The sequence below is a fragment of the Homo sapiens genome, chromosome 22, assembly GCF_000001405.40.
Source record: "Homo sapiens chromosome 22, GRCh38.p14 Primary Assembly".
NCBI lineage: Eukaryota > Metazoa > Chordata > Mammalia > Primates > Hominidae > Homo > Homo sapiens.
This window is the reverse complement of record NC_000022.11, coordinates 31,905,359-31,931,421: the sequence shown is the minus strand read 5'-3', so window position 1 is coordinate 31,931,421 and position 26,063 is coordinate 31,905,359. Positions and strand designations below refer to the sequence as shown.

Below are 26,063 nucleotides of genomic sequence, written 5' to 3'. Positions count from 1 at the left end.
TATTCCTATAAGGAGCCAGGGAGACATCCTTAGTTCCCACTTTACAGGACAGGAAACTAAGGGAGTAGAGGAACCCATTTGTATTAGCCAGGGTTCTCTAGAGGGACATAATTAATGGCATATATATATATATGTGTATATGTGTATATATATGTATATATATGGGTGTATGTATATATATGTGTGTATATATATATATAAAGGGGAGTTTATTACATATTAACTCACACGATCACAAGGTCCCACAATAGGCCGTCTGCAGGCTGAGGAGCAAGAAGAGCCAGTCCCAGTTTCAAAACTGAGGAACTTGGAGTCCGATGTTCGAGGGCAGGAAGCATCCAGCACATGAGAAAGATGTAGGCTGGGAGGCTAGACCAGTCTCTCTTTTACATTTTTTCTGCCTGTTTACATTCTAGCAGCACTGGCAGCTGATTAGATGGTGCCCACCCAGGTTAAAGGTGGGTCTGCCTTTCCCAGCCCACTGAGTCAAATGTTAATATCCTTTAGCAACACTCTCACAGACACACCCAGGATCAATACTTTGTATTCTTCAGTCCAATCAAGTTGACACTCAGTATCAACCATCACACCATTGTTCAAGGCTCAGGTCTCTGGATGCCATCCTAACCCAGGGTCTTTGCAGGTGCTTTTCCTCTGCCCGGAACACTCTTCCCAGAGATCTCGACATGGATGATGTCGCAGATTAAAGATGGCCACATAGGCCAGGCATGGTGGCTGACACCTGTAATCCCAGCACTTTGGGAGGCCAAGGCAGGAAGACAGCCCCAGGCATAAGTTCAAGACCAGTCTGGGCATCATAGTGAGACCCCCATTGCTACAAAAAATAAGAAAAAAATAGCCAGGCAGGGTGGCACACTCCTGTAGTCCCAGCTACTCAGGAGGCTCAGGTGGGAGGATCGCTTGAGATGAGGAGTTTGAGGATGCAGTGAACTATGATTGTGTTGCTATAGTCCTGCCTGGGCAACAGGGCAAGATAGCGTCTTGCTGGTGTTGTGGTGCATGCCTACTCAGGAGGCCAAGGCAGGAGGATTGTTTGAGCCTGGGAGCTTGAGGATGCAGTGAGCTATGATCGTGCCAGTGTACTCCAGCGTGGGCAATGGAGTGAGACCCTGTCTCAAAAAATTAAAAAAAAAAGATTTCATACTAATCACAACTTTGGTACACCTCGAAATCATTTTTGTTACTCTCTGCAATATGGATCATGTCTCTTTTTATATAAAATATAATATGTATACATTTATAAATTTATAAAATACAAAGATGGAGTTTCACCATGTTGGCCAGGCTGGTCTTGAACTCCTGGCCTCAAATGATCTGCCCACCCTGGCCTCCCAAAGTTCTGGGATTACAGGTGTGAGCCTCCACGCCCGGCTGATCATGTCTCATAAATAAGGCCACAAATACTTTGCTGCTCCCCTCACATCAAGAAGTGGCATCCCTTTCCTTGCCCTTTGGATCTGGGCTGGGCTTGTGACTTGCTCTGACAACAGAATGTGGCAGAAGTGACCCTTTATGAGTTCAGGAGCTTAGGCCGCAAGAGATCTTGCAAGCTTGTGCCTTCCCCCTCTTGGAATGCTGCTCCTAGACCACCACATAAGGCAGCTGGTCTACCAGCGGGAGGATGGGAGGCCACGTGATAGGGATCTGAGACACCCCAGCCAACAGCCAGCACCAACCACCAGATGTGTGTGAGAGGCCTTCTTGGACCTTCCAGCTCAGCTGTGACTCCAGCTGAATGCAGCTGCATGTGTGACCAGGAGAAACGGGCAGAGGAACCACTCAGGCCAGCCAGACTCATAAAAAATAACAAATGGTTGTTGTAAGCCACTAGGTTTGGGGGTTTGTTAGGTGGCTATAGATAACCAAGACAACTGCCTCCTCCTCATTCAGGTGCCTGCTCCCTTCCCCTTCAGTCCCTTCCCTCCCCCCTCAAACCCCCACCAATTGCTGTTTATGCCGTTATCCTGTTTCATCCTGTCCAAGGCATTTATCACTGTCTGAAACCATGATGTATTCACTTATGGACCTGCAGTGCATTTCCGCCACGAGGCTGCAGTTTCCATGAGGGCAGGGGCCAGAATGGTTTGTTCCCTACCATCTCCCTTGAGCCTGTGTGTGTGGTGTCTGGCACAGAGAAGCTGTGTAATTGTTGATGGAGAGATTGTGTGCCTGCCCCTTGCTGCTGTGGTGCTTGGGGGAGCAGCGTGGCAGGTGGGAACTCCTGCCTGGTTGTGTCTTCCAAAACCGGTGCCCTTGGGAGGGCAGGAGGGCAGGCCAGGTGTCTGGGCTGTGTTTCAGGGGCAAGAGCTTCAGGGAGCCCAAGTTGAGTAGGAAGAAAAGGAAACTGCCAAAATGTTCATTTTCAGCAGGGGCTTAGATTCAGGCCAAGGAAGTTACTGGGGCTTCTCTCCACCAGGTCAGCTGCAAATTACCAGCAGCCCAGCCACGCCCTTCTGTAAGATCACCAAGCTGAGAAACTGGGCAATGGGAGAGAGTGTTGGGGACACTGAGTCACTTCCCAGGGGCCAACTATTTCCAAGTCCCTCAGAGTCCTCAGAGTCTGCTTTTTCCAGTGCCAAGGAATTGGTCCAGTAGCCACAGCTTCAGTTGAGGAAAAAATGCATACCCAAGAGAAAAAGAATCAGCTCCAGGGTGCCTTTTTCTTTTCTTTTCTTTTTTTTTTTTTTTTTGAGACGGAGTCTCATTCTGTCACCCAAGCTTGAGTGCAGTGGCGTGATCTCAGCTTACTGCAACCTCCGCCTCCCGGGTTCAAGGGATTCTCCTGCCTCAGCCTCCTGAGTAACTGGGATTACAGGCATGCACCACCACTCCTGGCTAATTTTTGTATTTTTAGTAGAGACAGGATTTCACCATGTTGGTCAGGCTGGTCTCGAACTCCTGACCTTGTGATCCACCCATCTCAGCCTACCAAACTGCTGGGATTACAGGAGTGATTCCAGGTGCCTCTTTTAGCTATCATTCTGCATTCTGTGGGAACAGAGAGAGCATCACCGTAGTTCAAGCCAGGCTCCTTTAGGTTAGGTGGACTTGTGTTGGTATTATGTCTCCATGACTGTGTGACCTTGGGGATGCGGCTTGACCTTCCTGAGCACCAGTTTCTGCATCTATTAGGAGTGGACAGTGAAGACCGAACTCCTAAGGTTGTGATGAGAATTCAATGAGAACATGCATGCCCAGCACAGCTTCAAGCACACAGAAACAGTAAAACCGATTGCAGGTAAGCTTGTGAGTACTTCTTCACCTGTTGGCAAATGGGGGTTGAGGGGAAGAGCAAGGTTTGCAGTTAAAAACAGACCCTTCCTGGAGACCAGGGTCACATTGAGGGGTTGCCTGGCTGAGACTAGGGCTATGGTATGAACCCTTGGTCCACAACGGACTGCCTGATTCTAACTGGCTTCTGTAACAGAGGAGACCACTCAGAGAAGCCCTCAGAGGGCCTCCAACCCTCCTGGAACCCCCCTGGTATAGATAGGTCAGTGGTTTGGAAGGTAGACCTCTGACAAGGATTCAGAAGGCCTGGGTTAAAGGCCCGGCTCTGGCACTAATGTGCTGTGTGTCATGGAACAAATAATTTGCCTTCTCTGGGCTCTAGTGTCCTCATCTATAAAATGGGTCATTAATCTCTGACTTACCGAACTCATAGGGTTGTTGAGATGATGAGATAATTTAGATGAAAGACTGCTTTGAAATGCATTTGCTGTTTGGTGAATAAAAAGGGGATAGATATTAAAACTGAGAGGACCCCTGGATTCTCTAGCAAAGCCCCTCTAAAGCCTTTAAACCAGGCAATATAAATACGAGTTCAAACCCTGGCCTTTATTAGTAACTTGCACGACTTTGGGCGAATGAGTTAAACTCTGGCACTGCTAGTGGTGTGATTTTTCTTCTGAGGGAGACAGGACCCATGGAGCAAGAAAAGGCTGGAAGAAGCTGCAAGATACAGGGTAGACAAGATGAGGAGGAGAAGCCCGCCAGCCTCCAAAACCCCTGGGCAACTGGTGGCGGGGAGGTTCCCACCTGACTGTGAGCTTAGGTGGGGGCTACCTGTTCCCCTTTCCATCCCCCACAGGCAGTTCTCTGGATCTCAGCCCACCCCAGGTAGATGGTGACTCAAGTTGTTCTGCAGAGACTGGTCCCCCTGCCTCTGTTGCCATGGCACTGCAGCACAGCCTGGCCAATCAGGAAGGAGATGAGTATCTGAGTCTCTGTTGCTAAAGCTGGAGCAGGACACCTAGCCAATGGGAAGGGCAGCAGAGTGGAGCCACCATGGAAACCTAAGCAGTGAGGTTCAAACCATGTTTTTTGTCTCTATGTCTCATTTTCAGGGGGTGGGCTGGGTTTTCTGCATTCCTTTTTTTTTTTTTTTTTTTGCAAAGAGCATCTTGCAACCCCAGGAGGATATTCAGGAGTCACGACTGGGTGCATGACAAGAGGCATCTTTAAAGAGTCAGAAAGGACTCCAACTCAGCAGGGCACAGCTTCAGATGAATTATTCCCCCAGATGCTCAGCATCACCTGTGTCTATGATCTTAGCTCATCGCCACAGCTCTACCTAGCCCCACTGTCCTAGGAAATAACTGCAGGCTGCAGAAGAATCCCCACCCCCAAAGTAAGAAAAGGAATGTGGGGTCACCTCCTTATGCCCAATAGCTTTGTGGCTTTGGACAAACTCCTTAACCTCTCTTCCTGTAGGCAAGGTAGTAGAGTAGCATAGAGACATGGGTCAGACACGGGGGCTGCCCCAGTGTAAAATTAGAAGATTGGGAAAATGGGCTCTGTGATTCCTTTCAGATCTCACATTCTAGACTTGATGATTTTTCACCTTCAGGCTCTGGATAAAGTGGATCTACAAGAAATAACTTCCCAAGGAGGAGTCCTGTAAATAGCATGAGTGGACAAATACGACTCAGGCTGCTTTTTGCCATGAAATTGCCAGACAAGGAGGGATGTCTGTTTCAGAGTCCTGGGCCAGGGGAGTGAAATCACACAGTTACCTGCATGCAGAGCCCAGAGTAGAAGACCTAGCTCCCTTTACCCTGCAACATGCAATCTTCTTAAACCAGTCTTCTTATCCTTGGGTGGGCAGTCAGGGAGCTGTGCACGCCCACACCTCCAACACCCTTTATTTTGCAAACATGGGCATAAAAACAACTGCAAGGGAAAATGTGTCCCACCCCTTCCCCACTCCCTTCTGGCTTTCTCTCTGTTGCCTGGCAACAGTTTTATCCAGAAACCTGGGTGTCATCCTAGATAACTCCCTCACCCTTATCCTTCCCACAAAACCCATGGCCCAATCATGTCCATTTTATCTCCTAAATGGCCCTCAAGTCCATCCACTCCTCCCCTCCCCCCATCACCTCCCCAGTCCAAGGTTCCATCATGAATTTCCTGGACATCTACATTGGCTTCCCACAGGCCTCCGGCTTTCACACTTGCTCATCCCATCCCCCGCTTCCATCTTCTGTAACCACAGCCAAAATAATCTCTTAAAAATACAAATCTGATCCTGTCACCTGCTCCTTGCTTAGAACCTCTAAGAATCAAAATCAAAATCTTCAGCATGCCCAAGAGCACTGCATGGTCAGGCCTACTTCCCAACTTTATCTTGCCCTGTGCGTGCCCTTCCCTCTCTTCCTGAACATTTTTTCCTCCCCAATTCTTCTACTTAATCCTGCTTACCCTGTAGTTCTCAGTTCTATGGTCACTTGGAGAGCCTTTGCTGACCTTCATGACTAGGTCAGATTGCCCTGTGATGGACTCTCCTAGCACCATGTGCCCTTTATGTCTGTAGCACTTATCATTGTCACAATTTTACCCTTATTTACTATTATTTGATTTATATCTGCAAGCCCTGCCTCACTCAATTTAAGCTTCATGAATGCAGTGATTTTGTCTTGTTCTCTGCTTGAAACATGGATGGATGGATGGATGGATGGATGGATGGATGGGTGGATGGATGGATGTTTGGATGAACATGAGTTGGATGAGTAGGTGTATGGATGGATGGGTATATGGATGAATGAATGTTTGGATGTACAGGAATTAGATAAATAGATACATGGATGGATGGGTATATAGACGGATGAGTGAGTGTATGTATGTATGTATGGATGGATGCATGCATGCATGAATGGATGGATGGGTAGATAGATGGATAGGTGGATGTTTGGATGAACAGAAGTTGGATAAATAGGTGGATGGATGGATGGACAAGAATTTGATCAATAGGTATATGTATAGATGCATGAATGGATAGATGGATGTATATATGGATGGATGGATGGATGGATGGATGGATGGATGGATGGATGGATGTTTGGATGAACACGAGTTGGATGAGTAGGTGTATGGATGGATGGGTATATGGATGAATGAATGTTTGGAATCAAGCGATTCTCGTGCCTCAGCCTCTCGAGTAGCTGGGATTACAGGCATGAGCCACCACACCTGGCTAATTTTTGTATTCTTAGTAGAGATGGGGTTTCCCCATGTTGGCCAGGCTGGTCTCAAACTCCTGACCTCAGGTGATCCTCCCGCCTCGGCCTCCCAAAGTGCTGGGATTACAGGCGTGAGCCACCGCACACGGCCTCATAAACTGTTTTTCTCTGTGAGTCTCTTCCTCTCCACCAGAGAGTGGCATTCCTTATTCCCCAGGAATTAGTAAACTCCCTGGAGACAGATGTGCCAGGAATGTGCCCACATCTCACAAAATGCCCTTTTGTGGCCTGGGCACCCCTTCTTTCTTTTATTTTTGAAACAGGGTCTCACTCTGTCACCCAGGCTGGGGTGCAGTGGCACGATCTTGGCTCACTGCAGCTGACTTCCTGGACTCAAGCAATTCTCCCACCTCAGCCTTCCGAGTAGCTGAGATTTCAGGCACATGCCACTATGCCCAGCTAGTTTATTATTAATAGTAGCGGTAGAGACGAGGCCTCACTATGTTGCCAAGGCTGGTCTCAAACTCCTGAGCTCAAGCAATCCTCCCATCTTGGCCTCCCAAAGCACTGGGATTACAGGCGTGAGCCACTGTGCCCGGCTGGCACCCCTTCTTTCAATCCTCACAGGACTCTGAGGGAGGCGTGATTTACCCCCATTTTAAACAGCAGGAAACTGATTTGCCCCGGGTCACACAGATAAAAAGTGGTAAAACTAGTGCTGAAACCCAGGTCGATTTGAATCCAAGGCCAAAATCCTTAACCAGTACCCGCAGGCGGGGATAGTCCCTCCAACAGCCCAAATATGGCTGCCACACCTGTGCCTGGCCACCATGGGTGGGGTAGCCCATTCTATTGTTGAATTCCTGCCTGTCAAAGAGTTTATTCTAACCCACTTGAAATATGCCCCTCTGAAACTGCTACCCAGTGACCCTGACTCTGCTCCCTGGTTACAGAACCAGTGCTTCCCCTCTTCCACATGGCAGCCCGTCAATAATTTACAGCCAGCCGTCCTGTCTCCCCTGCATCTGATCCTCTCCAGGGAGGGGTGGCAGAGGGGAGAGACTGCAAACCTGGAACTACAAAATCCAAGTTCTCATCCTGGCTCAGCCACTGTCCACAGACCAGTAAATTTCAAAAGAAAATTAAATAGGTGATTTTGACAAACAAGGACACTGAAAAAAATGGCCAACTCCTAGCACCCTTGTTTCATAAAAGAAAGGGCATCCTGACACAGAAAAAAGTAGGGCAGACAATTTCAGAATTAATTTATCTTCATAAAAACTCCCGACTTTGTCCCTGTTTCTCTGATTTCACCATGTCCTGGTGCTGACTCTGTGGGGGACTGGCCCAGGTCTGTAGGCCTTTGAGAACCTTTGCTCCAACCCATTAAAGAAAACACTGCTGGCCAGAAAAACCAAAGTAGAGGATTCCACCATCAGGACACGGTAAGTGACCCTGTTTGAAGAGGGAAGGAAGAGCTGAAAGTGCCTGGCACTGAGAAATGGCTGAGCTCAGGAAATGAGACAGACTTCTCCATTGCATTGTGGTTTCATATCCAGTTTCTATCTCAGCTTAGAGGGACAAAGGCTTTTCCTACTCCACGGGTACCCTGTGACCACCCAAGGTCACGTCTCTAGCCGGCAGAACTCACTGGAAGTCAAGAAGGCTGTTTCTGTCCCATGGCAGGAGGCCAGTGAGAAAGGCTGGTTTTATTCAAAGGCAGCAGATTTTCTCTTGGGGAAGTTTTGGGCTTGGTCTGAAGGATGACCGTCTAACCCAAAGGCTTTCTCATTACTCATTCATTCATTTATTATTTACGAGATATCTTCTATGTGCAAGGCACTGTTCTAACGTTAGGAGTACCAAGGTGAGCAAAGAATGATATGGTCTCTGTTCCTGTGGAGCTTAGTGTTGATTAGAAAAGGCTGACATTAATTCAAGTTGAAGGAATAAGTGTAAACTGACGGCTGTGATGAAGGCTACAGCAGAGGCACATGTTACTCTGAGAGTGTGATATAAGGAGGGTTCCCCTAGTCGGAGGTCATGGAAGGCTGAGATAGTAATGGCCGAGCTGAGATCGAAAGAAGGAAGAGTAGGCATTCACCAGGTGAAGATGGAGGGAAAGCATATTCCAGGGAGAGTGCTTGGTGTGGGATGAACATAAATCACATGAAGAACTGCAGTGAGGCTGGTACGACTGCAGGGCGGTGACCAACAGGAAAGAGCATGCAAGATGAGGCTGGAGAGGTAGGTGGAGGCTCACATGTTGCTGGATAGGTAGGTGGGGTTTTCTCCTTTTCTTGAGTGAAACAGGAAGCCACTGAAGGGCACTGAATGTGAAAAGTGGCGTAAGTATTATTACTTGAAGGCAGAGAGGAATCAACAGCTGCCTCTTCCAGGAGTCAAACTGATGATGATAGTGGTGGTAATAAAAATAATGATTGGCTGGGCGTGGTGGCTCCTGCCTGTGATCCCAGCACTTTGGGAGGGTGAGGTAGGCAGATCACCTAAGGTCAGGAATTTGAGACCAGCCTGGGCAATATGGCAAAACCCCGTCTCTACTAAAATACAAAAATTATCCAGGCATGGTGGTGCATGCCTGTAATCCCAGCTACTCACAAGGCTGAGGCAGGAGAATTGCTTGAGCCCGGGAGGCAGAGCTAGCAGTGAGCCGAGATCGTACCACTGCACTCCAGCCTGGGCGACAGAGCGAGACTCTGTCTCAAAAACAAAACAAAACAAAACAATAATGATTAAAAAATAATAAGTGGCTGGGCACAGGTGGCTCACACCTATAATCACTACACTTTGGGAGGCTGAGGCAGGAGCATTGCTCGAGCCCAGGAGTTTCAGGCTGCAGTGAGCTACGATCATGCCACTGTGCTCCAGCCTGGGTGACAGAGAGAGACCTTCTCTCTAAAATGAATAATAGTAATAATAGTAGTAATAATAATAATAATAAGAGAGCTCATGTTACTAGGCCGGGCACCTGTAATCCCAGCACTTTGGGAGGTTGAGGCGGGTGGATCACAAGGTCAGGAGATCCAGACCATCTTGGCTAACACAGTGAAACCCAGTCTCTACAAAAAATACACAAATTAGCCAGGCGTGGTGGCGGGCGCCTGTGGTCCCAGCTACTTGGGAGGCTGAGGCAGAAGAAATGCTTGAACCTTGGAGGTGGATGTTGCAGTGAGCTGAGATCGTGCCACTGCACTCCAGCCTGGGCAACAGAGCAAGACTCCGTCTCAAAAAAAAAAAAAAAAAAAAAAAGAGTTTGAGGGACAACAACTTCGAAGACACTTGGTTTGTAACTTAGGCCCTTAATCCATGTGGTTTGTTCTGTCAATAAGCATGCATGCATGGAGTGCCTGCTACGTGCTAGGCACACTGAGGCTACAGCAGGGACCAAAAACAGTCCCAGTGCTTACATTCCACTGAGCAGAAAAGACAATGCAGAAGCAGGCAGATAATGCAGAAAATTTTAGATGATGTTAAGGGCTATGGGGAAGAGACGAGAGGACACAGAGGTGCTGCTTTCTAGACAGGATGGTCAGGGAAGGCCTGAGAAGGCAACGAGTGACACCCACAATAAGGAACCAACCAAGCCACAATCTTGGGAAGAGGGTTCCAAGAAGAGGGGAGACATGCAAAGGCCCTGAAGCAAGGGCAACCTTGGGGTGTTCACGGAACAAAAAACAGGAAAAGCTGCATCATTCTGAGTAGGAGGAGATGAGACTGGAGAATGGAAACTTCTGGAAGCCCAGGCAGGCCTCACAGGGCCTTATGGGCCCTGGCAAGGAGTTGAGGTTTCATCCTGAAATGATGGGAAGTTGCTGAAGGATCCTCAAGCAGGGGAATGATACAACCTGTTCTATGTTTGTTTGTTTGTTTGAGACAGTCTCACTCTGTCCCCCAGGCTGGAGTATAGTGATGTGATCTCAGCTCACTGCAACCTCCACTTCCCGGGTTCCAGTGATTCTCTTGCCTCAGCCTCCTGAGTAGCTGGGACTATAGGCACGTGACACCATGCCTGGCTAATTTTTGTATTTTAGGTAGAGATGGGGTTTCGCCATGTTGGCCAGGCTGGACTTGAACTCCTGACCTCAGGTGATCTACCTGCCTTGGCCTCCCAAAGTGTTGGGATTACAGGCGTGAGCCACCACACCCGGCCTGTTCTGTATTTTAAAGAGGGCATGCTGTTGCTGTGAGAATATATTCCTGAAGGCGAAGGAGGGTGCAAGAGGACAGTTAACGTTGTGTCGCATCAGATGGAAGTGGAGATGGGGAGGGGGGTCAGATTACAATATATTTTTGCTAATGGGTTAGATGTGGGGGATGAGGGAAGGGGAAATATAGGATAATTCCAAGGCTTTCTGCCTGAATAACTGGGTAGATGATGGTACAGTTACTAAATCCGGGAAGACTGTGGGTGGAACAGGTTTGGGTGAGAGCTGGGGGTTGGGTGCAGAGCTAAATCAAGAGTTGTGTTTTAGACACATCAAGTTCACTGTTCTCTTAAATCTCTAATGAGAGGCCAAGAAGGCAACTGGACTGATAGGTTGGAATTCAGAGGTGGGATGGGCTAGAGATCTTGAGACTTGTGGGCATGTAGATGGTAATTAGGATCTCAGGATTGGGTCACTGGGGGAATGCAATGAAGAAAAGAGGTCCAGGAGACACAGATTGGGGTCTTCCAATGTGTGGAGACTGCACAGAGGCCAGCAAGGGAGGGTGAGATAGAAAGCCAATGGAGGAGGGCACCAGGAGAGCCCCAGCTCCACTGACCAACCTTGTAACCTCAGGCAAGTTGCTTCCCTTCTCTGGGCCTCAGTTTCCCCTATGTGGACAAGGGGATGGCCATATTCATCACTGAGGTGGTTCCAGCTTGATCATCCTGGGACACTCCTGAGAAAGAGCGGCAGCAGTTTCTGCAGCCACCTACCACAGGAAGAGATCAAAGCTCAGGCTCCCCCATCTCGTTTCCAGGACTCCTACAATGAAACTGAATGAAATCCCAAATACAACAAAACATAGCCCAAAGGTCGGCCACTCAGAGTTAGGGGCTGGGTAAGGTCATGGTGACCTGGAATAGAATCCAGCCTTTTTGTCACTTGCCAGATGGGTGACCCTCAAGCCTCAGGTACTTATCTGTAAAATGCAGCCAACAGGACCCACAGCAGGGGTCTGTTGTTAGAACTAAGCCAGGTATGGGTGGACACGGTGGCTCACACCTGTAATCCCAGCACTTTGGGGGGCCAAGGCAGGCAGATCACCTGAGGTCAGGAGCTCAAGACTAGCCTGGCCAACATGGTGAAACCCCATCTCTATTAAAAATACAAAAATTAGCTGGGCATGGTGGCGTGTGCCTGTAGTCCCAGCTACTTGGGAGGCTGAGGCGGGAGGATTACTTGAACCCGGGAGGCGGATGTTGCAGGGAACCGAGATCACACCACTGCACTTCAGCCTGGGTGACAGAGTGAGACTCTGTCTCAAAAAAAAAAAAAAAAAAAACAAAAAACAACTAAGCCAAGTAGCAAGCAAAGCATCCTGCATGGCTCCAGGCATGCATGCAATCAATGATCAGCTCCTTCCTGCTTTAGGAAGACTCCTTCCCTGAATCAGGAGAGAGGGAGTCCAACCTGGCTGCACTCTCAGAATGATGTAGTCCTACTGCTGGTCAAGCCTGGGGCTGCCAGCTCTGTGCCACCCTGCATCTCACTTGCAGAGTACGTGGTTACCCAGCTAATCACAGGAATTAGGGATCTGCAAAGACTGACTAGGTCATCTAGCTGGAGCCTGGGGCACTGTGGAAGGTGGGAGGAGGGAGGGGGGACAACAGCTTCTAAGGCTGACCGTAGCTGTAGACTCACCCCAGCCTTTTCCCAGGCTGCGTTAACCTGGCTGGCAAAGGGCAGTGATATGACAGCAGGGGAACACTATAGCAGAGAGTGAGCTGGAACTCGGGCCAATGTGTTCAGCCCAGTGACAGCTCCTGGCTCAGTGTCTCCTAGAAGCAGCCCTGGAAGAAGACAGGGACTGCAGGGGCAGCTGCTGGAAGGCGAGCTGGGCACGCAGCCTGGATTCCTGCCCCACCTCTGTCACAACCATTAGGCCAATGGCTCCACTTATTGGGCACCTCCAAGGTGGCAGGTGCTGTGCTAGGTGCTTAACTGAAGAGCTCTTCAACAACCTTGCAAGGAGGGCAAACATGTCCCTGTTGAAAAGATGAGGAAACTGAGGCTAACAGAAGAGGAAGGCTTGCCCAAGGTCACCCACCCTTCTAGACGTTCCTTCTTTTCAAGACATAGACAAGACACCCTTCCGCAGCACACACGGTCCTGCGCAATTGGTTCTGCTTCCTTCTCCTGCTGCACCTGCCCCTTCCTCTCCCTTGGCCTTCCATCAGGTCTCCATGGAAACATTCAGAAGCCTTCCCTAGGCCCCAGAATAGGTCAGGCTCCCCCTCACACCTTTTTTTTTTTTTTTTTTTGAGACAGAGTCTCACTCTGTCGTCTAGGCTGGAGTGCAGTGGTGTGATCTCAGCTCACTGCAGCCTCCGACTACCGGGATCAAGTGATTCTCTGCCTCAGCCTCTCCAGTAGCTGGGATTATAGTATAGGCACCTGCCACCACGCCGGCTTTTTATTTTATTCTATTTTTTTGAGATGCAGTCTCGCTCTCTGTCTTGCCAGGCTGGAGTGCGGTGGTGCAATCTCGGTTCACTGCAACCTCTGCCTCCTGAGTTCAAGTGATTCTCCTGCCTCAGCCTCCTGAGTAGCTGGGATTACAGGCACATGCCACCACGCCTAGCTAATTTTTCTATTTTTAGTAGAGACGGGGTTTCACTATGTTGGCCAGGATGGTCTTGATCTCCTAACCTCATGATCCGCCCACCTCAGCCTCCCAAAGTGCTGGGATTACAGGCGTGAGCTGCCGCGCCTGGCTCCCCTTACACCTTTCACAGTGGCCTCTCCTTTGTCTTTTGGGCACTTTTCGCAACTATACTTATTACTTCACAACCCTAAAAATCGTTATTTGTGTAATTTTTTGTTTAATATCCTTCCTCCTGCATCTACACGATGCCTGGCACATGGGTGACTGTTAATACGTATGTGTGGAAAGCACGGTGACTAAACCTGTAAACAACAAATGAGCGAATAAACCACAAACAAATCTCCCTCCCGCGGCGATGGGCTGGCTGCGATTCCACTGGGACACAGGGACTTGTATAAAGGGGCAGCTCCCTTAGAGTCTACATCATCAAACCTAATAGGAACAGTATCTTGTGATCACTGTGACCTGCAGCCCAAGGGGGTATGCACAAAGCAATCCCAAGATGTGTGCAGTGGGGGGTGGACACCCAGCTCCCTGCATGGGTCAGACCCCAGAGCTGGCCAGTTTCTCTGTTGTCCTCCAATCTGGCTTCCAGTGGTGGCAGCCACTCTCCTGGTTCCTGCAGGAGAGAGACGAAAGTGGCGAGGGGGTGTCTCACAAGGAGAACTGTGCCGGTTTCATTTCTGCTTTGAGGCGAGACACATCCTGTGTGTCAGACTACCCAGGGAGTGCTCCTGTTCTCCCAGCGCCAACCACCAACAGTGCAGTGACCAGGAGCAGGAGACCCTGGGGAGTCGAGACCAGGGACATGGCTGTCATGGCTGTGCAGGGAGCTTGGCCCCAGGCCCCACCCTGCCTCCTTCCCTGCACGGCGGCCTCTCCACAGAGGCCACTCTCACTGGGTTTCTGTCTTCCACACCCCATCTCATTGTGAGGAAAAGCCCAGCCTGGCTGGAGGGGATTAGGAGCAGGTGGGAGAATGCAGACAGGTGCGATCTCTCCTCTGCTCTGTGTGCTCAGTAACCCCAGGCAAGTCCCTGAACTTCCCTGAGACTCAGTTTCTCCTCTGAGAAGTGGGGGTCCCCACTCACCTCCATCAGGGCTGTCCCCAGGCCCTAGCAGGTTGGTGGACACACACTTGTTTGGGGTTCAATATACAAAATAAGCTCTTGCTGTTATCTTTTTTCTGCTTTCTTTCTTTTCCCAAGCTTCAGACTAGCTAGTGGTATATCATGTTCCTTGTACACCTGCTAGGCTCATTCAAAGCAAAATGTTTAGGCAGAGCATGGTGGCTCATGCCTGTAATTCCAGCACTTTGGCAGGCCCAAGGTGGGTGGATCACTTAAGCCCAAGAGTTTGAGACAGCCTGGACAACATAGTGAGACCCTGTCTCTACAAAAAATTAGTGGGGTGTGGTGGCATGTGCCTGTAGTCCCAGCTACTCGGGAAGCTGTGGTGAGAGGATCAACTGAGCCTGGGAGGCAGAGGTTGTAGTGCGCTGTGATCACGCCACTGCACTCCAGCCTGGGTGATAGAGCAAGACCCTGTCTGAAAATAAAATAAAATAGAAAACCAGAATGTTTGGCCTCCGTTACGGGAGCATTTACAGCACTGCCTTAAAATGGGGGAGCACCCTGCACCGCTCAGACACCTTTGCAAAGCTGACTGCCTCGGGTCCTCACCATGATCCCTCAAAGAAAGCTGGAGAAACGCCGTCATCACTGTACCCTCAAACTTGAGGTCGAGTGAGGTGAATGGACTTATTCAGGATCACAGGTAGTTGGCACTATTGTCAGACAAGAGTAACAGTGGCTTTTCCTCAGACTCAGTTCTCAAAATGCTGCCCCACCACCCCCCCCTTTTTTTTTTTTTTGAGACAGAGTCTCCCTCTGTCACCCAGGCTGGAGTGCAGTGGTGCGATCTTGGCTCACTGCAACCTCCGCCTCCCGGGTTCAAGTGATTCTCAGCCTCAGCCTCCTGAGGAGCCGGGATTACAGGCGTGCACCACCACACCTGGCTAATTTTTGTATTTTGAGTAGAGACGGGGTTTTGCCATGATGGCCAGGCTAGTCTCGAATTCCTGGCCTCAAGTGATCTGCCTGCTTTGGCCTCCTAAAGTGCTGGAATTACAGGCATGAGCCATTGCGCCCAGCTCAACAACCCTTATCTCCCAGGTTCTCACACCGACTTCTTGAGTTACGTAACGAAGTCTTGATGATTCCCATCTTGTCGCTAGACGGATGAGGGTCAGGGTGGTTTCAAAAGCCTATGCAGGGTCACCTGGTGAAGAAACAGCAGGTTGAACCTGGGCGCAGCGTTCTGATTCTGAGGAGAAAGGGAACATGAAAGAGATCATTTCCCTACTTGTCTTATCAGACACCGGCTACCACCGTGGAGCTTGGGTGTGTTCAGAGGCCATTGTTCTACCTACATCTGGGGCCAGGAAGAGCAAAGGCTGACAGGTGAGCAAGGCCTTGTGTGGCATGACACCAGGGGACAGGCTGGCTCAGGGCTTCCAGACAATGGGCCATTTTTTGGCTCCAGTGTGCACCCAGGGACTTGCCAGCACTCACCTCTAGTTGTTGAAAGGGCAGGCTGGGTGAGGCAGGTCGGGGAACTCTCTCTGCAGTTCTTCCTTTCAGTTTTTAGTCGTCTTCTCCTGACTGTTCTGTTGCCAAAACCCCCCAGCCCTCCAGCATCCCCTTCCCCACCCCATCCTCCTCACCTGCTAGAACTCTTATGTAGCTGTCAAGTCCCAGCCCAAATGCCCCTTTCTCCAGTCTTCCCCAGCTCCCCTACACAGACTGAAGCCCCCTCCTCTATTTCTTTTTTTCTTGAGACCAAGTCTCGCTCTGTCACCCAGGCTGGAGTGCGGAGGTACGATCTTGGCTCACTGCAAACTCCCCCTCCCGAGTTCAAGTGATTCTCCTGCCTCAGCCTCCCGAGTAGCTGGGATTACAGGCACCCACCACTATGCTTGGCTAATTTTTTTTTTTTTTTTGTATTTTTAGTAGATAGAGATGGGGTTTCACCATGTTGGCCAGGGTGGTCTCGAACTCCTGACCTCAAGTGATCCACCTGCCTCAGCCTCCAAAAGTGCTGGGATTACAGGCGTGAGCCACTGCACCTGGCCAATTTCTTTCTTTCTTTTTCTTTTTCTTTTTTTTTTTTTTTTTTTTTGAGATGGAGTATTGCTCCGTCACCCAGGCTGGAGTGCAGTGGCACAATCTCGGCCCACTGCAAGCTCCGCCTCCCGGGTTCATGCCATTCTCCTGCCTCAGCCTCCTGAGAAGCTGGGACTACAGGCACCCACCACCATGCCTAATTTATTTGTAGTTTTAGTAGAGACGGGGTTTTACAGTGTTAGCCAGGAAGATCTTATCTCCTGACCTCGTGATCCGCCCGCCTCGGGCTCCCAAAGTGCTGAGATTACAGGTGTGAGCCACTGCGCTCGGCCAGCGCCCGGCCAGTTTCTGTACTGCATTACAGATAGCCAATCTGAGACCTCTTCTAGAGGGCTATGGTGGCTGCTTTGCATGTCTGCTTCCCTCCACGAGGAGGGCAAGGCCCACGTTGGTTCAACCTTGCATAAATGTTGGCTGAATGAATGAATTCAATAAATTCTAAATAAGCACCAAATGTGTGATGGGTGCTTGCTGTGGAGGATACAAGGATGAGCAAGATGTGTTCTCTGCCTCCAAAGAGCTTACATTCGATGGGAGAGGCAAGGTACGTGAACAAGGAAAGTGGAAGGAAACACAGAAGCCATGTCCCAGCAAGTGAGCACTCAATATGGCCAGCATTCTAATCTGGTGCTGCCCGTAACTTGCTGGAAGCCTCTAAGCAGGCTTCTTAGCCACTCTGGCCTTGGAACCCAGCAAGAGTAATTCCTATAGATTGACGATGGGGCTGCCATTGGATTCAGATCACAGGAAGGGGCAAGTGACAGGTGCCTCTTCTTCCAAAGTCACAGGAGGGAGGGAGTCCCCCCGTCTAAGCCTCTTACCTGACCACAGTCTAGTTCATGGTGTCTGAAGCTGACACGATTGACATTGGAGGCTGGATAATTCTTTGCTGTAAGGTCTATCCTGAGCATTGTAGGTTTTTTAGAAGTACTCACTAGAGGCTGGGCACAGTGGCTCACACCTGTAATCCCAGCAGTTTGAGAGGCTGAGGTGGGAGGATCACTTGAGGCCAGGAGTTCAAGAACAGCCTGGCTAACATGGCAAAATTCTGTCTCCACAAAAAAAAAAAAACCAAAAATTAGCCAGGCATGGTGGCTCCAGGTACTCAGGAGGCTGAGGCACAAGAATCGCTTGAACCCGGGAGGTGCAGGTTGCAGTCAGCCAAGGTTGTGCCACTGTGCTCCAGCCTGGGTGACAGAGTGAGACCCTGTCTCAAAAAAAAAAAAAAAAAAAAAAAGCATAGAGCAGAGAGACAGCCAGGCATGGTGGCTCAGGCCTGTAATCCCAGTGCTTTGGGACGCTGAGGCAGGAGGATCTCTTTTTTTTTTTTTTTGAGACGGAGTCTTGCTCTGTTGCCCAGGCTGGAGTGCAGTGGTGTGATCTTGACTCACTGCAAGCTCTGCCTCCTGGGTTCACGCCATTCTCCTGCCTCTGCCTCCAGAGTAGCTGGGACTACAGGTGCCCACGAGCATGCCTGGCTAATTTTTTTTGTATTTTTAGTAGAGACGGCTTTTCATCGTGTTAGCCAGGATGGTCTCGATCGGCAGGAGGATCTCTTGAGGCCAGAATTTTGAGACTACTTGGGCAACATAGCAAGAATCCCGTCTCTATAATATTTTTTTTTTAGACGGAGTTTCGCTCTTTTCGCCCAGGCTGGAGTGCAATGGCATGATCTCGGCTCACTGCAACCTCCGCCTCCCTGGTTCAAGTGATTCTCCTGTCGCAGCCTCCCAAATAGCTGGGATTACAGGTGCCTGCCACCATGCCAGGCTAATTTTTGTATTTTTAGTAGAGACGGGGTTTCACCATGTTGGCCAGGATGGTCTCGATCTCTTGACCTCATGATCCACTCACCTCGGCCTCCCAAAGTGCTGGGATTACAGGCGTGAGCCACTGCGCCAGGCCTTTTTTTTTTTTTTTTTTTTTTTTTTTTAATTAGCTGGGCGTGGTGGTGCACGCCTGTAGTCCCAGCTACTCAGGGGGGCTGAGCTGAGAGGATTGCTTGAGACTGAGTTCAGGGTGGCAGTGAGCTGTGATAGTGCCACTGCACTCCAGCCTGAACAACAGAGGGAGACCCTGTATCTCTGAGAGAAAAAAAAAAAAGAGCACAGAGAAGAGGCAAGAAATTGCGTTCCAGTGGCAACTGTGGGACTGAAACAGACTGGAATTCCCCCCTCAGCACTCATCCATCCTGTTGGTTGAGAAAGGAAAAAGTCTATATATAATCTTATGGTCCCCAATGTTTCTCCCAGATGAGTTCAGATGAAAATTCTGGGGCTCAGGGAGAAAAGACTTTTCCAGAGATTGCATAGCAATTCCCCATCTCCCCTCATCCCCATGGGAAAAGAGATTTTCTTGTTGGAAGGACTATGTGCTGATTCACTGAGGAAACAGGAATCTTGCTGCAGCCAGAGAAGCAGATGGAGGTCAAATCTGAAGGCTGGTAGGACTCAGTACTCGGCACCAGCTTTTGCTACATGCAAATGCTACATCCCAGGCATTTCAGGCCAGGTTTAGGGCAAGTGTGTGGCACAGTCTGAAGGCCAGGAGCTGCCTGAAGCACTTGCAGGCTGAAGCCACAGCTGCAGACCAGAAGAGAGGGCACACACAGTGCCTTCCAGATAGAAGCCTGGCAGGGAGGAAAGGCCACTGGTCCTGCCTCAAAGTCACTGAGTCACTGCCCATTCCCTACCAGAGAACCTGTATATGAGGCCATGTCTACATGTTACACTGCATCTGTACCCATGCAGAGATTCACCATACACGTAAGGCAGTCAGTTGAAAGGAACGAAGGGGTCCCCAGGCAGGAACCCAGGATGGAGCAGTGGGTGGCATCTCATTGATACAGCACCACAAAAAGGTGAAGAGGGCAGCACAGTTGGTGGTGACTGGGCTGATTCCCATGAACCTGATTCCCAGTCCAGCTGTTTGTTAGCGTATGGGCGTGGACCCTACTTCCTGGGGCCTTCCACCCCTCAGCTGGTATGTTGATAAGATTATACAATGAGTCAGGTGCAGTGTCCCATGCCTGCAATCCCAGCACTTTGAGAGGCCGAGGTGGGTGGATCATTTGAGGTCAGAAGTCCGAGATCAGACTGACCAATATGGTGAAACCCTGTCTCTACTAAAATTACAAAAATTAGCTGGATGTGGTGGCATGCCCTTGTAGTCCCAGCTACTGGGGAGGCTGAGGCAGGAGAATTGCTTGAACTTGGGAGGCAGAGGTTGCAGTGAACCAAGATTCTGCCACTGCATTCCAGCCTGGGCAACAGAGCAAGATCTCGTCTCAACAACAACAACAAAGATCATGCAATGAAAAGGTGTATGACACATTGCCCAGGACACAGGAAGCACTCAATGGAGTGACCATTGTTATTCTGTGTTTTTCTGAACTTTTCTGGGTAACTGAAGAGGCCTGTAAAATGGCTTCTATTCAGCATTCCCTCCCAGTATTCGCTATCTGCTTCAGCAAGGCCTCACAGATTTGCGCAGTGTCTCTGGCATACATCATGTATCCCTTCCTTTTTTTTTTTTGAGACAGGGTCTCCCTGTCGCCCAGGCTGGAGTGCAGTGATGCGATCTCGGCTCACTGCAACCTCTGCCTCCCAGGTTCAAGTGATTCTCCCGCCTCAGCCTCCTGAGTAGCTCAGATTACAGGCGCCCGCCACCATGCCTGGCTAGTTTTTGAATTTTTTTTTTTTTTTTGAGACAGAGTCTTGTTCCATCGCCCAGGCTGGAGTGCAGTGGTGTGATCTCAGCTCACTGCAACCTCTGCCTCCCGAGTTCAAGCAATTCTCCTGCCTCAGCCGCCCGAGTAGCTGGGACTACAGGCACGCACCACCACGCCCAGCTAATTTTTGTATTTTTAGTAGAGATGGGGTTTCACCATGTCGGCCAGGATGGTCTCGATCTCTTGACCTCTTGATCCACCCGCCCTGGCCTCCCAAAGTGTTGGAATTACAGGTGTGAGCCACTGCGCCCAGCCCTAACTTTTGTATTTTTAGTAGAGACAGGGTTTTACCATGTTGGCTAGGCTGGTCTCGAACTCCTGACCTCAGGTGATCCACCCACCTTGGCCTCCCAAAGTGCTGGAATTACAGGCGTAAGCCACCGTGGCCGGCCCTAACTTTTGTATTTTTAGTAGAGATGGGGTTTCACCATGTTCGCCAGGCTGGTCTCAAACTCCTGACTTCAGATGATCTTGGCCTTCCAAAGTGCTGGGATTACAGTCGTGAGCCACCGCACCTGGCCTGTATAATCTGGTGATAGGCTTCTGATCGGCATGCACATGTCCTCCATGTCTGACCAAACCCACAGATTCCCTGTGGGCTGAGCTTTGTACCTACAAAAAGGTGGATGAGTCTAAGAGACAGGATGAATGGATGGGAGGACTGGAGGATGATGGAGGAGGAAGGCACTGGGTTTGACTACCAGATTCTGGCTTGGACAAGTGGGTGGAAGGAGATGCCCACCAGAGAGAGGAGGAATCAGGAAAGTAGGCAGCAAGGAGACTGGGGCTCATGGGCAGGAAAGTTTGAGGTCCCGCTCTGATGGGGGAGTGACCCAGCATCCTAACGCACCAGCCGCCCCTTCTTCCACCAAATCATTCTGTGGGCCTTCTGCTGGGCAATTGCAGGGGCAGTTTTGGCCTCACACACAGGACACTGAGGATCACAAGTGATTGTTCAGTTCGTATGTGATCTGAACAGGCCAGCGTTTGCTGTGTCCAGCACCATCACTCAATGGCTTGAGAGCACAATGGAGACTCCCATCCAGGAATGTGAGAGCAGCTGTTCAGCTGTTTGAGAGCAGACATTTGCTTACTGTCTTTTTGTAAGACCTTTCATATACGTGGCCTTTTTTTTTTGAGATAAGGTCTTGCTCTGTCACCCAGGCTGGAGTGCAGTGGTGCAATCACAGCTCATTGCAGACCTCCTGAGTTCAAGCGACCTTCCCACCTCAGCCTCTCACGTAGCTGGGATGACAGGTGTGAGCCACCATGTCCAGCTAACTTTTGTTTTTTCTTAGACGGAGTCTTGCTCTGTCGCCCAGGCTGGAGTGCAGTAGCACAATCTCGGTTCACTGCAACCTCCATCTCCCGGGTTCAAATGGTTCTCCTGCCTCAGCCTCCCAAGTAGCTGGGATTATAGGTGCACACCACCACGCCTGGCTAATTTTTGTATTTTTCATAGAGATGGGGTTTCATCATGTTGGCCAGGATAGTATCAAATTCCTGACCTCACATGATCCGACCACCTCGGCCTCACAAAGTGTTAGGATTACAGGCATGAGTCACTGCACCCGGCCCCAAGCTAATTTTTTATTTATTTTATTTTATTTATTCATTTTTTTTGTAGCGACGGGGTCTTCCTATGTTGCTCAGGCTGATCTCAAATTCCTGGGCTCAAGTGATCCTCCCATCTCAGTCTCCCAAAGTGTTGGGATTACAGGTGTGGGCCGACCGTGCCCAGCTACATGTGTCTTCTGATTCTCCAACCACCCAAGGAGATAGCTTCCCATTTCATAGATGAGGGGATTTACATATCTTAGAAAAGGGAAGGTGAAAAAGGAAAAGAAAACAGGTTTTTATCAAAGGCCTGCTCCATTTCCAGGAATTATCCAGGGCTCTTTCACATATATTAACAAACCTATTCTCTCAAAATCATTACATGCAGCATCCATAGCCACGTTTTAAGTTCTAAATAAGTTCAAGTTCTGTGAAGTAACTAAGGAGCCTAGCTAGGAAGGTGGAGACTCAGATGTAAAATCCAGTGCCCAGGCCAGGCGCGGTGGCTCACGCCTGTAATCCCAGCACTTTGGGAGGCCGAGGAGGGTGGATCATGAGGTCAGTGGATCGAGACCATCCTGGCCAACACGGTGAAACCCCATCTCTACTAAAAATACAAAAATTAACCAGGCGTGGTGATGTGCGCCTGTAGTCCCAGTTACTCAGGAGGCTGAGGCAGGAGAATCGCTTGAACCTTGAACCGGAGGCGAAGGCTGCAGTGAGCCACTGCACTCCAGCCTGGGTGACAGAGGAAGACTCCGTCTCTAAAAAAAAAAAAAAAAAAATATCCAGTTCCCAGCCCTGGAATCCAAAGTTCATTCAGTTACTATACATTCAGTCAACAACCATTTCTCCAACATCTACTATTATCATGTACACTTGGGAACAAAAAGATGAACAAAATAGAGAAGCTTTGGCTGGGCACGGTGGCTCACGCCTGTAATCCCAGCACTTTGGAAGGCCGAGGCGGGTGGATCACAAGGTCAAGAGATCGAGACCATCCTGGCTAACACGGTGAAACCCCGTCTCTACTAAAAATACAAAAAATTAGCCGGGCATGGTGGCGGGCGCCTATAGTCCCAGCTACTCGGGAGGCTGAGGCAGGAGAATGGCATGAACCTGGAGGCGGAGCTTGCAGTGAGCTGAGATCGCACCACTGTATTCCAGCCTGGGTGACAGAGCCGGACTATGTCTCAAAAAAAAAAAAAAAAAAAAAAGAAAGAAAGAAAAAAAAAGAAGCTTCTGCCATGGTAGAGTGTAAACATGTTGAGTACCATGCTGGAGAAGTACAAAGTGCTGTGGGAGGATGTAACAGGGCCAACTCTGCTTCTCTGGAGAAGTGACAGTTGAGCTAAGAGCTGATGGCTGACCACCAGGAGTTAGTGAGACAGAGCGGGCATGGAGGGAGGCATGTTCCAGGCAGATGGAACAGAGGGAACAGCAAGTGCAAAGCGTCTGAGCTGGTGCAGAGTTTGTGATGTTCCAGGGACTGTGTGATGGCCAGGGTGGCTGTACAAACAGCCCACCAGACCAGACTGTGCAGGACCATGTGGGCTGCATCTAAGATTTTTGAAGTTCAAGTCACCAAAAAGTTCTAGTTAAGTGGTGGGCAAAATCACAGTGGTTTTATAAAAAGACTGACTGACAAGTGGAGTGAAAGCAGAGACAAATTAGAAGGTTTTCCTGGGGATCTAAGAGAAAGACAAAGGAAGGCTGGACTGAGTGGCAGCTCAGGGCCTGGGAAGAAGAGAATGGATGCAAAGCCATTGAGGAGGCAAATCAACAGAGCTTGTGATGAACTCCACGTGGTGAGATGGCACAGCAAGAAGTGGCAGTCACTGTCGGATTCTCCCCTCTGACCCACAGCTCCTGAACTGCCCTGAGTAGCTTAAGGCAGGGTGCTGAGGTGAAGCACCAAGCTGAGTCTTATCTCAGCAAATCTAAGTTAGGCCGGGCATGGTGGCTCACACCTGTAATCCCAGCACTTTGGGAGGCTGAGGTGGGTGGATCGCCTGAGGTGAGGAGTTCAAGACCAGCCTGGCCAACATGGTGAAACCCCATCTCTACTTAAAATACAAAAAATTAGCCTGGTATGGTGGCAGGTGCCTGTAATCCCAGCTACTCGGGAGGCCGAGACAGGAGAATCGCTTGAACCCAGGAGGCAGAGGTTGTAGTGAGCTGAGATCACACCATTGCACTCCAGCCTGGGCAACAAGAGTGAAAACTGTGTCAAAAAAAACAACAAAAAAAACAACAACAAAAAAAACCTAAGTTAGAGTCTACAAAATGTTTCCTTTGATTTTTTTCAGAATGCCATCATATCTGCGTCCCAGAGCTGAGCTCACCCATTTAGCAAGATTCATTCTGACAGCATGAGCCTGCAGTTACCTTGTAAGTTATACTGCCTGCTCACTGTCCTCACTGGAACCATCCTTGCTCCTGCCCAGTGGCCTATGAAAGAAATCTCTCAATAAACTCCCAGCCAGACTCTAAGCCAGTGAATTCTGAAGCCCTCTCACCATCTGTGACCACTTCATTGACTGCCATGACCCCGGCCACCTGGCACAACTGCCCAGCCCAGGATGGGACTGCTTCTGTGGGGAACTGGGTGGGGAAAGAAATGATGCACGTGGAGCTCTTTATTTGCTTCTGATATGTACAGGTATATACAGTTGGTGAGAGTCTATGGTACATTATTTCACAAAATTATCTTACATCTGTGCACACTCCTGGGCAAGAAGTGGCAGATTCTGCCCCTAATATCCCATAGATGGTGAAGGAAAAGGATGCTACCAGGAGCCACCCCCTTCCGAGGACATTCATGGGGGCCGCCTGCCCTCTTCCCAGACACTGGAGCCCTCCCACGGACAATCTGTGCCTCCCACCTGCTCTGAGCACTTGCTGACAGGAGTGGTGGCAGCAGCAGCAGCTGCTTCCAAAGTCTTTCTTCTAGAGTAGAAGACTTGTCGTGGGGGCCAAAAACAAACAAACAAACAAACAAACAAACAAAAAACAATGGCCCCCACTCACTGATAGCAGCAAACGGACACCTGACTCCTAGAGCCTGCCTGGAATCCTCCGCCCCGGGTTTGAGGGCAGTGGCTCACCCACCTTCCCCCAGCACAGGTGCAGCCTGGCCTCACGGGGCACTGGCATGCATCTTCTCCAGGCAACTTGTCCAGAACGTGACCAGCCGGTTGTCACGGTTGATGCAGAAGTCCGTGAAGTCCTTCAGCAGCCGATCAGCAAACTTTTCATCCCCTGTGGCGCTGGAGCGCCATGTTTTGGTGAGCATGGTGTTGTAGGCCCAGTTGTAGCCGACCCGCTCCTCGCAGAACATGTTCTGGTTGGTGGAGCTGGTGGAGTTCCGCCGCCGCCGCTGCTGCCCTGAGAACTTGCGCTTGGAGTAGGGCAGCTGCAGAAACACTGTTCCTGAAGAGAAAGGGGAGCGCCTGTGTGGCAGCCACCAGGAGGGCTCCTGGAGCCTGCTGAGGTGGTTCTGCAGCCATAGGCTTGGTGCAAGGAAAGGGATGTGGACCCACCTGCCCAACTCTGCCCGTAGCTCCTCACCTGTAACGTGGATATACTGAGGCTTGTTCTCAGCAGGGAAGTTAAAAGCAGAGGCAGAATATTTATCTTGTACAAACCCAAACCTAGGGAAGGACAGGAAGACATGCTAATCAGCGCCTCCTTAGTTAAAGGGGCAAGGGAAGAGAATGTAGCTGATAGGACTCTCGGACAGCCTGAGACACAGAGATCTGGAAAGATCTCTTTCCAGATTGCACATGCAGGCTGCTTATTTTTGTCCTCACCCTCACCACTTTCTGACCTCTACCTCTTCCAACACCATGGCTTACCAGACCTCCTCACACCCAGCAGCCCGTCATCTCCGTGGTCCACCATGTCACTACCACCATAGTGAAAGAAAGCCTTCCCACCGGCTGCACTCTTCATCCAGCCTTCATCTCTGCTCAGACAGCCCGTCCCTCCTACCATGTTCCCTACCCATCCCAGCAGACCTTCCCACTGAGCGTTCTCCCCCATCCCATCCTGGGCCTCTCACTGGAATCTACCTCATGTCTTGACAGGCCACACATACCCACCCGCATACTCGAGGCTATCCATTCCTCCAGGGAAGGTCCTTATCTTTTTTTTTGGTGAGAGGGAATCTCGCACTGTTGCCCAGACTGGAGTGCAATGGCATGATCTCGGCTCACTGCAACCTCTGCCTCCTGGGTTCAAGTGATTCTCCGCCTCAGTCTCCTGAGTAGCTGGGAT

The 26,063-nt window shown here is 50.0% G+C and overlaps 1 protein-coding gene and 2 long non-coding RNA genes across 32 annotated transcripts in view, besides 3 other annotated features; 1 reads left to right on the top strand and 2 right to left on the bottom strand.

Moving 5' to 3' along the window:
- The first annotated feature begins 1,328 nt into the window (after positions 1 to 1,328).
- Positions 1,329 to 6,127, top strand: LOC105372998 (uncharacterized). The gene is made up of 3 exons (XR_001755494.2): positions 1,329 to 3,259; positions 4,112 to 4,323; positions 4,871 to 6,127. It is a non-coding gene; the product is annotated as an uncharacterized LOC105372998 (long non-coding RNA).
- LOC124905102 (uncharacterized) lies at positions 3,838 to 4,148 on the bottom strand. Its single transcript, XR_007068064.1, has 2 exons — positions 4,060 to 4,148; positions 3,838 to 3,972 (listed from the first exon to the last, which is right to left on the bottom strand). It is a non-coding gene; the product is annotated as an uncharacterized LOC124905102 (long non-coding RNA).
- Positions 4,112 to 4,312: a silencer, noted in NCBI's record as "peak4483 fragment used in MPRA reporter construct". NCBI's record gives its function as "represses an SCP1 promoter by STARR-seq MPRAs in K562 erythroleukemia cells {active_cell/tissue: K562}" and the evidence as "EXISTENCE:reporter gene assay evidence [ECO:0000049][PMID:32103011]".
- Positions 13,952 to 14,452: an enhancer, noted in NCBI's record as "H3K4me1 hESC enhancer chr22:32312956-32313456 (GRCh37/hg19 assembly coordinates)". NCBI's record gives its function as "activates a minimal SCP1, AML or CMV promoter by ChIP-STARR-seq in naive H9 embryonic stem cells {active_cell/tissue: H9 hESC(naive)}" and the evidence as "EXISTENCE:reporter gene assay evidence [ECO:0000049][PMID:30033119]".
- Positions 18,754 to 19,253: an enhancer, noted in NCBI's record as "H3K27ac hESC enhancer chr22:32308155-32308654 (GRCh37/hg19 assembly coordinates)". NCBI's record gives its function as "activates a minimal SCP1, AML or CMV promoter by ChIP-STARR-seq in primed H9 embryonic stem cells {active_cell/tissue: H9 hESC(primed)}" and the evidence as "EXISTENCE:reporter gene assay evidence [ECO:0000049][PMID:30033119]".
- Positions 23,389 to 26,063, bottom strand: part of DEPDC5 (DEP domain containing 5, GATOR1 subcomplex subunit) — a 154,066-nt gene continuing 151,391 nt past the window's right edge. For 21 of the 30 annotated variants that reach the window (NR_157126.2, NR_157125.2, NM_001364318.2 and 18 more), the window contains 2 exons: positions 25,356 to 25,438; positions 23,389 to 25,217 (listed from right to left, as the gene is read on the bottom strand). Coding sequence is in view for 25 of the 30 variants with exons in the window: in NM_001364318.2 (NP_001351247.1) it covers positions 24,925 to 25,217; positions 25,356 to 25,438 (376 nt within the window). In the remaining 5 variants the exon portion in view is untranslated. The remainder of the gene's footprint in view (positions 25,218 to 25,355; positions 25,439 to 26,063) is intronic. The other 9 variants (NR_146296.2, NR_157128.1, NR_110988.2 and 6 more) reach the window with 1 other exon arrangement.